The sequence below is a fragment of the Homo sapiens genome, chromosome 13 (genome assembly GCF_000001405.40).
Source record: "Homo sapiens chromosome 13, GRCh38.p14 Primary Assembly".
In the NCBI taxonomy this organism is placed as follows: Eukaryota; Metazoa; Chordata; class Mammalia; order Primates; family Hominidae; genus Homo; species Homo sapiens.
The window spans coordinates 31,162,610-31,176,304 of NC_000013.11; the positions used below are offsets into that span (position 1 = coordinate 31,162,610).

At 43.1% G+C, this 13,695-nt stretch overlaps 1 long non-coding RNA gene across 3 annotated transcripts; it reads left to right on the plus strand.

The window, feature by feature from the left end:
- Nucleotides 51-9,160, plus strand: LOC105370148 (uncharacterized). Of its 3 annotated transcripts, none has more exons than XR_941825.3 (3): nucleotides 51-1,488; nucleotides 2,545-2,633; nucleotides 8,828-9,160. It is a non-coding gene; the product is annotated as an uncharacterized LOC105370148 (long non-coding RNA). The 3 variants fall into 3 exon arrangements; XR_001749804.2 differs by lacking the exon at nucleotides 8,828-9,160 and adding an exon at nucleotides 3,246-3,765; XR_001749805.2 differs by lacking the exon at nucleotides 8,828-9,160 and adding an exon at nucleotides 3,246-3,765 and having other exon boundaries at nucleotides 2,545-2,616.
- The last annotated feature ends 4,535 nt before the right edge of the window (nucleotides 9,161-13,695 follow it).

The window sequence follows — 13,695 nt, forward strand, 5'->3', positions numbered from 1 at the left end:
CAGTTCAAACCGCTTATAATAAAAGCAAAGGGGTTGTGTTAAGTGTTCTTGTATTCATCAGGCAGCAGGATGATCTCTTGTGGAGTAAAATGTCAGGTGTTTTTTTTTTTAAGAAATCGATTTTTAGTTGTGACGTCATTTGGCAGGCTGTCCACGGTATCACTTTCTGCTTATTTTTAAAAGGTCTGATTTAAGCCGACGCTGTTCTACCCTGCCACTCCTAGCCATAAATTGGTACTGTGTGTAAGTTTTGCTTTTTGTTTGATCTGAAGCAGCTTTTGTTTCTTTCCCTCAGAAGCGATGTCCCCGTTAACTTTTGTTCAGTAAAGAGACAGTGTAAGAAAAGGTGGAACTGTGTTGCTGATAACTTATCAGGTCTTTTATACCCTTTTGTGTCTTTTTAAGTTTGCTTCTGATCCCTGAGTTTACCTTATGTCAGGCATGTGGAAGTATAAGCACAGTTCAAATATGTTATTGGATAAGCGTGTAATTGAATAAGGAGTTGTAACCTAAAGTTAGAAAAATCTAACTCATAAAGAGTATGGGAATTCCTCCTTGTCTATCAAAACAAGTTGGTTAAGTCAGAGGCAAGACGAAAGGCCCAGGTTTACATTACATGTAAATTGTATGTGCTTTTGCTAGTTTTCCTGCCACTTAGGTGGCTTACTTAACATGCTTCAGTTAACTCACCTTTAAAATGGGAGCAATAATAGTTATCACGGGGTTGTTGTGTTCTTACATTTGGACATATAGTTAGCTGTAACTATAAGTTATTTTTGTTATGCATCCCAAAAACTTGGTTTCTGTCCCCACCCCCCGCCCACCAACTTTTTCTTACATATCAAAACCTTATAATAAAATCCATGGAGACATAGCAATTTTGAACAGAAAGAACCTTTGAGATTATTTGGTCTGCTTCCCACATTTTAACTGCCGTACGAAGAGGAGACATGAACAGTTCTCAGTCTTTGGAGCCAGACAGATTTGGGTCAGGTTCAAATCCTTGGCACTCTACTAAGATGTTTTATATAAAGTACAGCTTGTAAGGGCACCAGGCCTCCTGGAGTCAGACATCATGGGCTTGAATCCTAGCTATTCTTATTTGTGAGCTGTGTGATGTTGCGATAATTACTAAGCCTTTCTGTATTCCATCTCATGGTGTTTATGTAATGATGGAAACTATATGTAAAGCACTAAACATATATAAACATAAACATATAAAGTCTGTCATCTTTGTCAAATTCCTCTTTGCCCTCTGTTTCCTCGACTGTAAAATGGAAGTAATACCTATTTTTGCTAGGATTTTGGAAGGATTAGATATAAATAAAACATGGTATGGTGGTATTTGATAAATTGTAGTAATAGAAGTAATATCATTCAGTGAAAGTCAGTACAAACTTTAATCTTGTACTGCTGTGGATGTGTTGTGTAGTCATGGTGTAGCCCCCTTTTATTTAATCGATTTGCCTTAATTATTCAGCACAACAGGTAAGTGATAAGAGGTTGTAAAATCTACCATATTTATTATCTAATTGAAATTCTTAGCTGGGCCAGGCATGGCGGCTCACATCTGTAATCCCAGCACTTTGGGAGGCCAAGGCAGGAGGATCACCTGAGCCCAGGAGTTTGAGGCTGCAGTGAACTATGATCACTCCACTGCACTGCAGCCTGGGCAACAGAACAAGAGTCTGTCTCTAAAAATAAAAAAATAATTCCTAGCTAGGTGCAGTGGCTCATGCCTCTAGTACCAGCTACATGGGAGGCTGAGGCATGTGGGTTGCTTCAGCCCAGGAGTTGAAGTCCTGCCCAGGCAATATAGCAAGACTATTAAAAAAATTCACTTTTAACACTTTATTATATTTTATTACTTTATATGTTTATATATTTTATTACATGTAGAATTTATCACACTTACTGTTGTAATGTCAGAAATTTTAAAATGAGACTTGGACCAAATAATGACAATCCCTACAAATCCTTGTTATGTAATTATGAATCCAATTATTAGGTTTCATTCCATATTTGTTTTAGAGAATAAGAAGGACCTCAAAATTGGAAGCAGAAACAGACCACTTCCAAAGAACAATAAAACAAAAATGCAAAATTAAGAAAAGCCCAAACAAAAATGCCATTCAAAGAGATAATATGCAGTAGATATAAAAAACTATGCCAGGCTTCCTTGAAAGGAGGAAGAGATGGGCAAAGGAGGGGATATGCAGATAGAGTAATATACATGAAAGTGCATATGACTTTGAATTTCTGGTATCAACCAGTATGGCAGTCTTCTCTATAACCAGCATAATGCCAGGGTCTGGAGGGTTACAGAAGTAGTATAAAACTTGTTCTAAATCAAGATGTGTTTTGTCACTTCTCTGCAATGCTGGGGCATCATGAATACTCAATTATCTGAAATCTTGTCCGTTTGAACCTTTTTCAATATTTGCTTACCAAAAGATTTTTGTTTTCTTCTTATATATTAACCTGAAAATGTATCTTTTAAACCTTAATTGGTTCTGCTAAAACCTATTTTGTCCTTATTTTAAGTTATAATAGAATGATCATCTAAAAATAGGAATGCATGGGGAAATCACGCAGGGAGCAGAGACTTATAAAAAGGTACACCTAGAAATAAGGTAAGTATGTTTTGTCTGGTAGGACATGGAAAAGATATGTAAAATGATGTTTCTTTTAGCCTAAAAAGGATCATATTTTGTAATAAATGTGGCAGACAAAAACTCAATGTGTAGGAAAATGTTCATGTCTGCCCCCAAACTCACTGTGAGCCACTTTGCCACTGGAACACCGTGCTCAGGCACACTGGCCCCCTACCCCACATCAAGGTGTTCCTTTATTCCCCTGCCTAGAAAATTCTTCCTCAGGCTCCTGGCTAGGCCAGTTCCTCATCCTTCAAGGCTCTATTGAATTCTTCACCATCTGTAGAGAAGGTTTCTGAATGCCCACCCAGTAAGCACATTACCCTTCCCCAAAGTACACCCAGTTCTTGTCCAGTTAAGGAGAAGCTGGTGCCAGCCCGAATGCGGAGGGTGGTCACTGTTTGGCTTAGGCCAATCAGCACATCCTATTCCCCTTGGCCACAGTCGTTGGTTCCAGGATGGTCAGGTGACCTAGGCAGCCCAATCAGGGTGACTTTCAGGGCTATGGTTTAGAATGCCTGGGTATGAGGGTATTTCTCTGCCCCTTTCCATCCCTTTCCTTCCACTCCCTCCATCTTCTTCTTCCTCCAGGCGCTGTTGTGTGAGGTTATGAGGCCCAGAACCATTACAACAACCTTACTATCATCCTGAAAAGGAAATGACACATGGAAGTGGATAGAACTAAGAAAATTAAGTTGGAGCCTAGGGCTGAAGTCAGTCTTGAGACCCACCCTACCTCTAGATTTAAGTTATGCCAGCCATACATTTCCTCACCACTTAAGCCAACTTGAATTGGGGTTTCTGTTACTTGCTACCCAAAGCAAGTAACCTCCTCAGGAAGGTCTTTCATGACCATATTACCTAAAGCACCTCCTGGTTCACTCTCTGTTGTTATCCACTGATTTCCTTCACAACATGTACCACACTCTATACTACAACATATAGCTGCAGTGATCTTGGGGTGTGTGTGTGTGTGTGTGTGTGTGTGTGTGTTAGGTACTTCCCTTCTTTGATTGTCTGACCCAGAGGGCAGTGATTGTTTTTCTTCTTTATAGTGCATTATAGATGCTCAATCAATATTTGTTGAATAGTTGAATGAAAAAACAAACTTATTGGGAAATGCTTTTCTCTAATGCAGAGTTTCTCAGCCTTGGCACTGTTGACATTTTGGGCTGGATAGTCATCGTGTGGGCTGTCCTGCACCCTGAATAATTAACTGCATCCATGGCCACATCCTACTAGTTGCCAGCAGCAGTGTCCTGCTCTTCCTCCCGCACCCCCCACACCCCCACCACCTCACCCCTGGCCCAATTGCAACAACCGAAAATGTCTCCAGACATTGCCGAATGTCACCAATGGACAAAGTTGTCCCTGGTTAAGAGCAGTAGCTTTGATTTAAGCCTAATACAAAAAGGGCAGAGTCTCAGAATGTGTTTGAAAGAAAATAGAGCACTGTTTGATTTCTGAGCCACAGAGGCTAAGAGATGGGAGAACGGTAACCCAGATCTGAATGAGTCAGACAACTCCAACCTGTATTAGGTTACAAGAGGAGGGACACATCTCTCATTTGGCTACGAGACATGCCTGCTGTTGTACAAATGTGCACTGCCTATTCCAAGAAGGTAATATTGAACTGTGGTTGAAAGTATTTTTGTGATTATCAATTACTTCCTTCAGAAAGGTACATACAATTCACTGTTTTCCTTTGCCTTGGGTTTTTTTGTTTTTTTTTTCTGAGACAGAGGCTTGTTCTGTCACCCAGGCTGGAGTGCAGTGGTGCAATCTCAGCTCACTGGAATGTCCGCCTCCTGGGTTCAAGCGATTCTCCTGCCTCAGCCTCCTGAATAACTGGGATTACAGGCGCCTGCCACCGCACCTGGCTAATTTTTGTATTTTTAGTAGAAACAGGGGTTTCACCATCTTGACCAGGTTGGTCTTGAACGCCTGACCTCGTGATCCACCTGCCTCGGCCTCCCAAAGTGGTGGGATTACAGGTGTGAGCCACAGTGCCCAGCCACCTTGGCTTCTTTACTTATGAAATAATAATTAGAATGCCCACATAGTGACTGAAAATTATTAATTAATTCTTACATTCATGGTTACCTTAGTCATTCTATCATAGAAAGGAGAAAGAAAGTTAATATTTGGATAACCAGAATCATTGTTGCCCTACATAATATTCTGATTTTCCACCCTGAAAACTAAATTTATATACCAGAAATAGATTCCTCTTTTCTTCTTTCTTTTGTTTCTTCAGGCATGTGTGAAAAGAAGGAAAGGAAGGAAGAGTTAGTATCCTGTGTCTCTTCTATTCCAAATTATGATGAGGTCAGTTCAAAGTCCTTGTACATAAAGATGAGTCATTTCAGTACAGACTCTTTAGGTTTGCTGTGTTGAAAAAAAGCACCTTCATTTTGGTGGGAAAATAACTACAAATTGTTGGTGTATTTTTCTGTGTGTCAGAGGATTCTGAAACCAGGATGTGTCTGAGCTCTTGAGACATATTACAGATGCCCTCATGGGGTAGCTCATTAAGCTGTTGGAACCAAGGGTGCATTCAGTTCCCCTAAACTAATTAATAATCCACTAGGGAGGGTGGGAGTGGTAGAATAAAAAACATTTTGGGTACCTGTTTTTATTGAGCAAGTCATACTGTTCTTACCTCATTTGTGCCAAGTGAAATGAAATTCCTCCTTCCGGACACTTCGGAAGAACTCACTATCTGATTGCAAAGTTACATCTTGGCAAGGATGTATATAACCACTTGTCTAATGGTGGATGACTAGAATAATGTGGAAAGGAGAGACACAACTCAAAGCCATACAAATTACGGTTGCTTTATTTAATTCCTTGGCATCAATGGGAAAACAGCAAAAAGGGAATTTCTTGCCTATTCTGAAGGATGAGGCACTCAAATTATTCTACATGCCTTTCAGCTGCTTTCCACACCAGCAAACATGAGGTTAAAATATATTGAGAGGAAGGAATAAAGCATTGGAGAAGATGAGACTTCCTAGAAAAAAATTCAGTTACTCTTAGAAAGCTAATATTGCTGGCCAACAACACTGAAACCAGCTTTTTAAATTCTGAAATGTAAATTAGACCCAAAGAGTCTGTACTGAAATGACTCATCTTTATGTACAAGGACTTTGAATCGACCTCATCATAATTTGGAATAGAAAAGATACAGGATACTAACTATTCCTTCCTTTCTTTCTTTCTTTTCACATGTGCCTGAAGAAACGGTTACAATTCTGTTTTTCCTGAGGAAGTGTGTAATTTGTTACTTTCATTAAAGAAGCCCATTCTCCATAAATACGTTAGTCCACCTTATTTCCTGCTTACAAAGGCTCTCTTAGCCTTTCACCATTTAACAACTCTTTTTATATTTTGACAATATAAATGTTTTCCCCTTTGTCTCTGAAAAGAGGGAACAGGGTCAGCCCAAGACAAAAAGGCAGGAGAGTGTCTTGAGCTCCTTGTCCCTGCCATGTCTCCAGCCTCTGTCTCTCCCAGGCCCAGGCAGATAACCCGCCGGCTGGTGCCTCCCAACTCCCAAAGCTCCTTTCGCCTGGGTTCTGGTGTGCCATCCATGCTTACGCATCTCTCTGTGCCCAGTGCCCTGCACTAAGCCAGGTGTGTAGCCGGCCCTCACGCTGTTAGCTGCTGTTAAATGCCAGCACTCCGCCCCACCCAACTCTGTTGTGGCTCCTCCGACTGCCAGCACGGCTACGTCATCAAACAGGTGCTCCCAATCATTCCCGGTCATATGAAAAAACCAAGTCACATAGATTTAAGTTTCCACTCCCAGAATGGAGATATTTTTATTAAATAAGTTCCACTTAAATAAAACCAGTTTCCCTAGTTGGTTATATTAAAGGCTGCATAGGAAGATATCCAAGGGGCAGTCTAGGCATGGTGGCTCATACCTGTAATCCCAGCACTTTGGGAGGCCGAGGCAGACAGATCATGAGGTCAAGAGATCAAGACCATTCTGTCCAACACGGTGAAACCCCGTCTCTACTAAAAATACAAAAATTAGCTGGGCGTGGTGGCACACACCTGTAATCCCAGCTACTCAGGAGGCTGAGGCAGGAGAATCGCTTGAATCCGAAAGGCGGAGGTTGCAGTGAGCCGAGATTGTGCCACTGCACTCCAGCCTGGCAACAGAGCAAGACTCTGTCTCAAAAAAAAAAAAAAAGAAAAAAGAAGATAGCCAAGGGGCATATGGCTCTGTAGGACTCTGCCTTATATTACCGTGGTCAGACTGGCTGGGTGCATAAGAATCTTTGTGGCTCCCTCCCAACAGCTCCCCACTGCCCCCTCGACCCCGCAACTCCATTCCTCTTGAGAAGAAAGGGGAGTACTGCTCCGCGCTCCCTGCTCTGCTCAGCTGCCTCTGATTTCTGTCTGAGTTGTTCAAACTTTAGGGCTTGTTTATTGATTCCCCCAAGGGCTGTGAGCTCCCGAAGACTGTCCTTTCTCTTTTTATTTATAGGCCTTTGTTGAATGAATCAAAAATTGCTCCTTTCCTTTTCCTTCGTTTCTTCCTGCCTTCCTCCCTTTCTCTCTTCATCATTTATTAATCATTCACTGTTGGTCATGTCTCCTAAATGCCCCAGAATGAAAATCCCTGACCTACCTCTGCCAAGGTTTTTTTTTGTTTTTTGTTTTTTGTTTTTTTGTTTGTTTTTTTGTTTTGTTTTGTTTTGTTTTTTAAGATGGAGTCTCATTCTGTCGCCCAGTGGCACAATCTCGGCTCACTGCAACCTCCACCTCCCAGGTTCAAGCGATTCTCCTGCCTCAGCCTCCCAAGTAACTGGGACTATAGGCACGCGCCACCACGCCTGGCTAATTTTTTGTATTTTTAGTAGAGATGGGGTTTCACCATGTTAGCCAGGATGGTCTTGATCTCCTGACCTTGTCATCTGCCTGCCTCAGCCTCCCAAAGTGCTGGATTTCTAGGCGTGAGCCACCATGCCCAGCCCTCTGCCAAGGTTCTTAAGCCATACATGCATGTTCTCTTCCTATCTGATTTCTTTTTGGTCTGCCATGGCTAAGAGGCCTAACCAGCAAGAGGGAGCCAGGCCTTCTTACATCATCAGCTGCAAGAAAGTGAAAAAAGTGTCCTTCCCTGTTTGCTAGAACAAACAACAAACCATTCCTCCTTTTCCCCCACCTGGGACCTGCACTGGCCTTTCCAATGGGGAGGGCAACTCATTAGGAGGAGGAAATCCACTCTAGACTATCGCCTTTGGTGGCAGAGATGAATAACAAAGGTTTTTCTTCTCCTCTGGAGTAATGGAAGCTCGACCCTTACTACTGTGACCTATGGCATGTCCTTGAGGATCACATCTGTCTTTGAATAGACCCAGAACTCTTCCCTGGGGGCAGAGTACCATTGTCTGTTGTTGTGTGTAAGGAGATGTGAGGGTGCTTGGCAGGGATGGTGAGTGGGGACTATAACATTGAGGAATCCTGGGCTGTTCCCAAAGTGAGGCAGGAGAATAGAGTCTGCAGGCAGGGAACCTAAGGCCGATTTAGGCTGACTTCCTAGAACTAAATCAAAAGGAAAACCCCAACTTTGCAAACCCTCCCTCCTTTTCCTGCATAGCAGACAGAAAATTGAAAGTACCTCTGACTGGTTGCTTTCCACAACCAATCAGATGTTTGCATACGAATGTAACTTTGTAACTTTGCTTCAGCCTCTTGATTGCGGACCACTACTTCATTTGCATGGGGTGTAAACCAAGTGGCCAATGGGAAACCTCTAGAGTGTATTTAAACTCCAGAAAATTCTGGAACTGGGGCCTTGATCCCCTATGCTAAGACCCATTCCCACCATGTGGAGTGTACTTTTATTTTCAATAGATCTCTTGTTTTGGTGCTTCATTCTTTCCTTGTTTTGTTTGTGCATTTTGTCCAATTCTTTGTTCAAGATGTCAAAAACCTAGACACTCTCCACCAGTAACAAAAGGAGGAATCCAAGGACCTTATTGGCTTTTTGGAATAGCAGTAGGTCTCCATGATATTAATTAGGATAAAATAAAACCAACATGGCCAAACCTTTATGGTTTTAAATGTCCTTATAGATTACATAATGAAAATACCTATTAGCCTTTGACTTGAAATGTTTTATTCTAGCAAGTCACCTTCGCACTTTCCTCATATAGAGTGATCTGGATGAACTCCTACAATGTGGCAGCCGTTTGCTTTGTGCTGGAGATACCATGACGAACAGCCCACGTTCCTGCCTTCAGGAAACTGAAAGAGAACCAACTCTCAGAACTGCAGCAAGGTTAAGGGCCTTGGCAGCTGTACTGTGCATTTGGTATTATAGTAATAGTCACAAGACAACCCTCTAGACTGTGTGTGGAGTCAGGCAGAGCTGGGTATAAATCCTGGCATCTGCAACCTTTCTCGGGCAAACTGCCTAACTCTTCTAAAATCTTACCAGTAAGATGTGGGTAAGAAATTCTACCTTGGCCAGGTGCGGTGGCTCACGCCTGTAATCCCAGCACTTTGGGAGGCCGAGGCAGGTGGATCACCTGAGGTCAGGAGTTCAACACCAGCCTGGCCAACATGGCGAAACCCTGTCTCTACTAAAAATACAAAAATTAGCTGGGGGTGGTGGCGGGCGCCTGTAATCCCAGCTACTGGGGAGGCTGAGGCAGGAGAATCGCTTGAACCCAGGAGGTGGAGGTTGCAGTGAGCCGAGATCGCGCCACTGTACTCCAGCCTGGGCAACAAGAGTGAGACTCCATCTCGAAAAAAGAAAAAAAAAAAATCCTACCTCATTGTGGTATTGTGGGGACCAATTAATAAAGTAATATCACCTAAGCCAGATGTCTTCCATTAAAAGGGCACACAATAGCTGACAGCTATGGTTGTTATTGCTTTGATTACTAATGCTTGGTTACCTAAGACACTTCCGAGTCACTTCACTCCCTTCATAACCCTCTCCCAGGATTATGAAAGAGAACAGCAAAACTGTTTCCTTATCTTCATCTTTCATATTGTGCTGTTCATATTGCGTGACTGCCTAGATAATTGATAGTCCACAAATTTCAAAAAAACTACATATATCTGTGTGAATATCTTTGCAGATAATTCTAAATCAGAGAATCAGATTTTAGAGGGGAGGTCAAAATACCTCCATTCCATTGTGAAAAATTCATAAGAATATTCTGAATACCACAGATTTAAAATCTATCACTGTCCTAGAAAGGTTAACTTTCTTTTCTTTACCTTTATTTCTATGACATTGTTCTTTTGGCCCTGTCTCCAGTGTTATTTTATAACACGTTATATTTCTGCTTAGTGGATTGCTATAGTGATGTTGGTACATGTTCTAAAGGGATATATAGTATCATGCCCTAAATGGACTAGTCCACGCACCTTTGTTCAGCACTGGAAATTTCCCAAGTCTATTCATTCATCCATTCATGCAACAAATATTTCTGGAATTCCTCCCATGGAAAGCCATCATGTGAAAGTGTTACAGTTGATTCAAGGGTCATTGTCAACAATGAAAAATGTTTGCCTGCCTGCTGGGGCAAGAGACCTAAAGATGTATAATGCAGAAGATGACAAGGAGCTGTAGGGGAAGCCAAGGGCTTAGGGGCCAGAGTGGGCTGTGTTCAGATCTCACCTCTCTCACTTTAACTGTGTGACTCTGGGAAAAAGTTTAAGCTGTCTGAACTTCATCATTTTCATCTTCAAAATGTAGATCTTCCATCATTCATTCAACAACCATGTTGACTTTGTGCTAGGTATATCTCCCTGTCATTGATTTATGCTCTCTTGTTAAATTCTCACTACAGTTCTCTAAGGCATCTAGACAGTAGTTCCTCAACAGGTGCTATTTTATCGACCCCGTACTTTTAATGAACATATCAATTCAATGAACTTTGCACGCCTGCTATGGGCCATACCGTGAGCCAGGAGACATATGGCCTTAAGAAAAAAAAGAGTTAAAAACTGTGCCTCAAGCTTCTCAGTCTGGTTGAGGACACACCCATAAACATAATTATCCAATGGAATCGTTATAATGACAGCTCTGTGAACAGAAAATTTTTGGACACAGCAGTGGGACACGTAGCTCACCTGGGCCAAGGATGTTGGAAGGGGGAATAAGGTGGGTGACGCCTGAGCTAAAGTGAGTAGGATGGAGGAAGAGGACTCCATTTCTCTGCCAGAGTATGCAAATACAGAGGAGACGAACAAATACATATGCGGATTAGGTTAGCGATTCTGAAGTACAAGGCTCAAAATAAGGAATGAGCAACAATGATGTAATAGGTGAGCCCAGCTCAGAAAGGCACATACTAAAGACGTGTTTCCAGGTAGTCTCTGAGTACTAAAAGATTGGTAAGTGTTCCAGGGACCTTTTTGCAGTAGCAATGGCTCCCCAGGATATTCATCATGACAAAATAAAACGAATATGGCCACACCTTCATGTTCTTAAATAGATTCTTACATCATGAAAACACCTATCGACTTGTAATTTTTTTCTAACTAGTCAGTTCTTCCTCAGACAGAATAATCTGGATGAGCCTAATTCCTCTGGCTAGGACTTTTAAAATCATGTTGGCACTGGGGCTTGTTCCTATAGCTGGTTGGTACAACCTTCTAATAATACCAAGATGGTGTTTTGTGTCGCTGACTGCTCCTAGAAGAGGGTGACCCACTGCCCCCCAACTTGGGCCACTCACTGTACCACTGACTCAAACCCAATTCAATGGCCACCCCAAGCAGGACCAGGGATGAGATTTGACCGACTGCAGACCCAGAACCACCACAGCTAGAAAAGCAGTATAACCATGAAAAAGAAATTTCTGCCAAAACATCTGTGGGCTAAGATTACACACAAGTATGTTTGAGACTAGGGGAGTCGAAACATAAATAAACTGTAGAAAGGAGCATGCTAGTGCAGAGAGTGGGACTCCTAGAAATGTGAATTTATTCTCTTTGCCACCCAGGGGAGCCAGAGACTCATGAAAATCTTACACAAGCTGTCAAAGTTACGAACCAGGGCAGGGAAAAACAGTATATTAGTTTGGATTTTTGCAGTTGCAGGCAACAACAACAAAAAAATCAGCCAACCAACAAAACAAAAATGGGAATTTACTGATCCACATAATTTGGAAGTTTTAGGGGGCATCTAGTTTAGGCTCAGCCATATCCAGGAGCTCAAGTGACATCCTCAGGACTTTCTCTCTGCCCATCTCTCAGCTAAACTCTGCTCTGCGTTGCTTCCCTTCTCAGATGGGCCTTCCTTATGTAGGGGCAAAGGCAGACCTTGCAGCTCCAGAGTAACATAGTTCTTACCGTAAGAAAGTCACAAAGAGACTGGGCATGGTGGCTCATGCCTGTAATCCCAGCACTTTGGGAGGCCGAGGTGGCAGATCACTTGAGGTCAGGAGTTCAAGACCAGCCTGGCCAACATGGTGAAACCCCATCTGCTAAAAACACAAAAATTAGCTGGGCATGGTGGTGCATGCCTGTAATCCGAGCTACTTGGGAGGCTGAGGCAGAAGAATCACTTGAACCTGGGAGGTGGAGGTTGCAGTGAGCCAAGATTGTGCCACTGCACTTCAGCCTGGGCTACAGAGGGAGACTATGTCTCAAAAAAAAAAAAAAAGTAGAAGAAGGGAAGAGAAGAGCCAGTGAGTGTGACCTGGTACCTGAAGTCACTGTGCAGAGCTATCTGCCCAAGCTACTGGTGAGGATGATGGAGAATCAAACCACCAGGCCCCCAGCATTACTGCAGAATGGGCAGGGATGGTGCCTCACAGACATGCCAGGCAGGCAGAAAAAATAACGCCCATGACAGCTGGCGAGAAGGGATTTTCACTTACTGAGCACCTCAGCACAGTGCTGGGTGCCATGAATGTCTTACATCACCTCCCAAGGTTCCTCTTAGATAGGTACCTTCTATTATCATCCCCATTCTGCAAATGAAAGTAAGGCTCAGTTGGATTAAATAACTTCCCTGAGGACAACCAGTAAATGGTAGGGCCGGGTATTAATGACCAAAACCCTTGCTTGATCAAACGGGGAGGAAAAGTGAAGGGGAAGGGGCACTGTCCTCAGCAGACTGGGAGCCACAGAGGTGGTGGGTGGGGACGCAGGCAATGTGAGAAAACAGGACAAAGTGCTTTAAATAATTTCTTATTTAAAGCAGAGCCTAAGCCACAAAATCTCTGACAAGTAAGCCCTGGTGAATGGGGCACAATTTTTGTTCTATTAGGAGAGCAAGTTAGCTGGGCGCGATGGCTCACGCCTGTAATCCCAGCACTTTGGGAGGCCAAGGTGGGCGGATCACGAGATCAGGAGATCGAAACCATCCTGGCTAACATGGTGAAACTCCATCTCTACTAAAAATACAAAAAAAAAAAAAAAAAGCCAGGTGTGGTGGTGGGCGCCTGTGGTCCCAGCTGCTTGGGAGGCTGAGGCAGGAGAATGGCGCGAACCCAGGAGGCAGAGCTTGCACTGAGCCGAGATCGTGCCACTGCACTCCAGCCTGGGCGACAGAGTGAGACTCCTTGTCAAAAAAAAAAAAAAAAAGGTATGGAGATGGGATGGGGTGAGGCTTCAGGATTCTGGGTGGGACAGTCCTCACGTCTGATCTCACACAGAGCAGATCACTAACCTGCCTCTGGTAAAGTGGCCCTGGAGGGGTCTGAAAGCAGCCTTAGGTGGTGAGTCCAGCCCTAAGAGGCTCTCCTATCCCGTGGGGCCTTCAGCCTTCAGTTGCTCAATCTCCCTGGTAATTGAGACCAAGCTGCTAAATATTGTCAGAGGGCTGCGCTGAGACCAGCAGAGGGTGAGCAGCCCACAGAAATGAATCTGGAGGCCAGTTGGGGCAGAGAAGGTGACTGACTGGATGAAATGAGGATTAACTGCATGTAGAGTGTGTTTGACTTTAAACTGTGAACTACAGGTCTCTGGAAAGTGTTTGTAATAAGAAAAGTTGGCATTTCAGTTTCTCCTTGAATTGAGGACAGTGTTCAGGAGTATACTAGGCAGTGGAAAATGA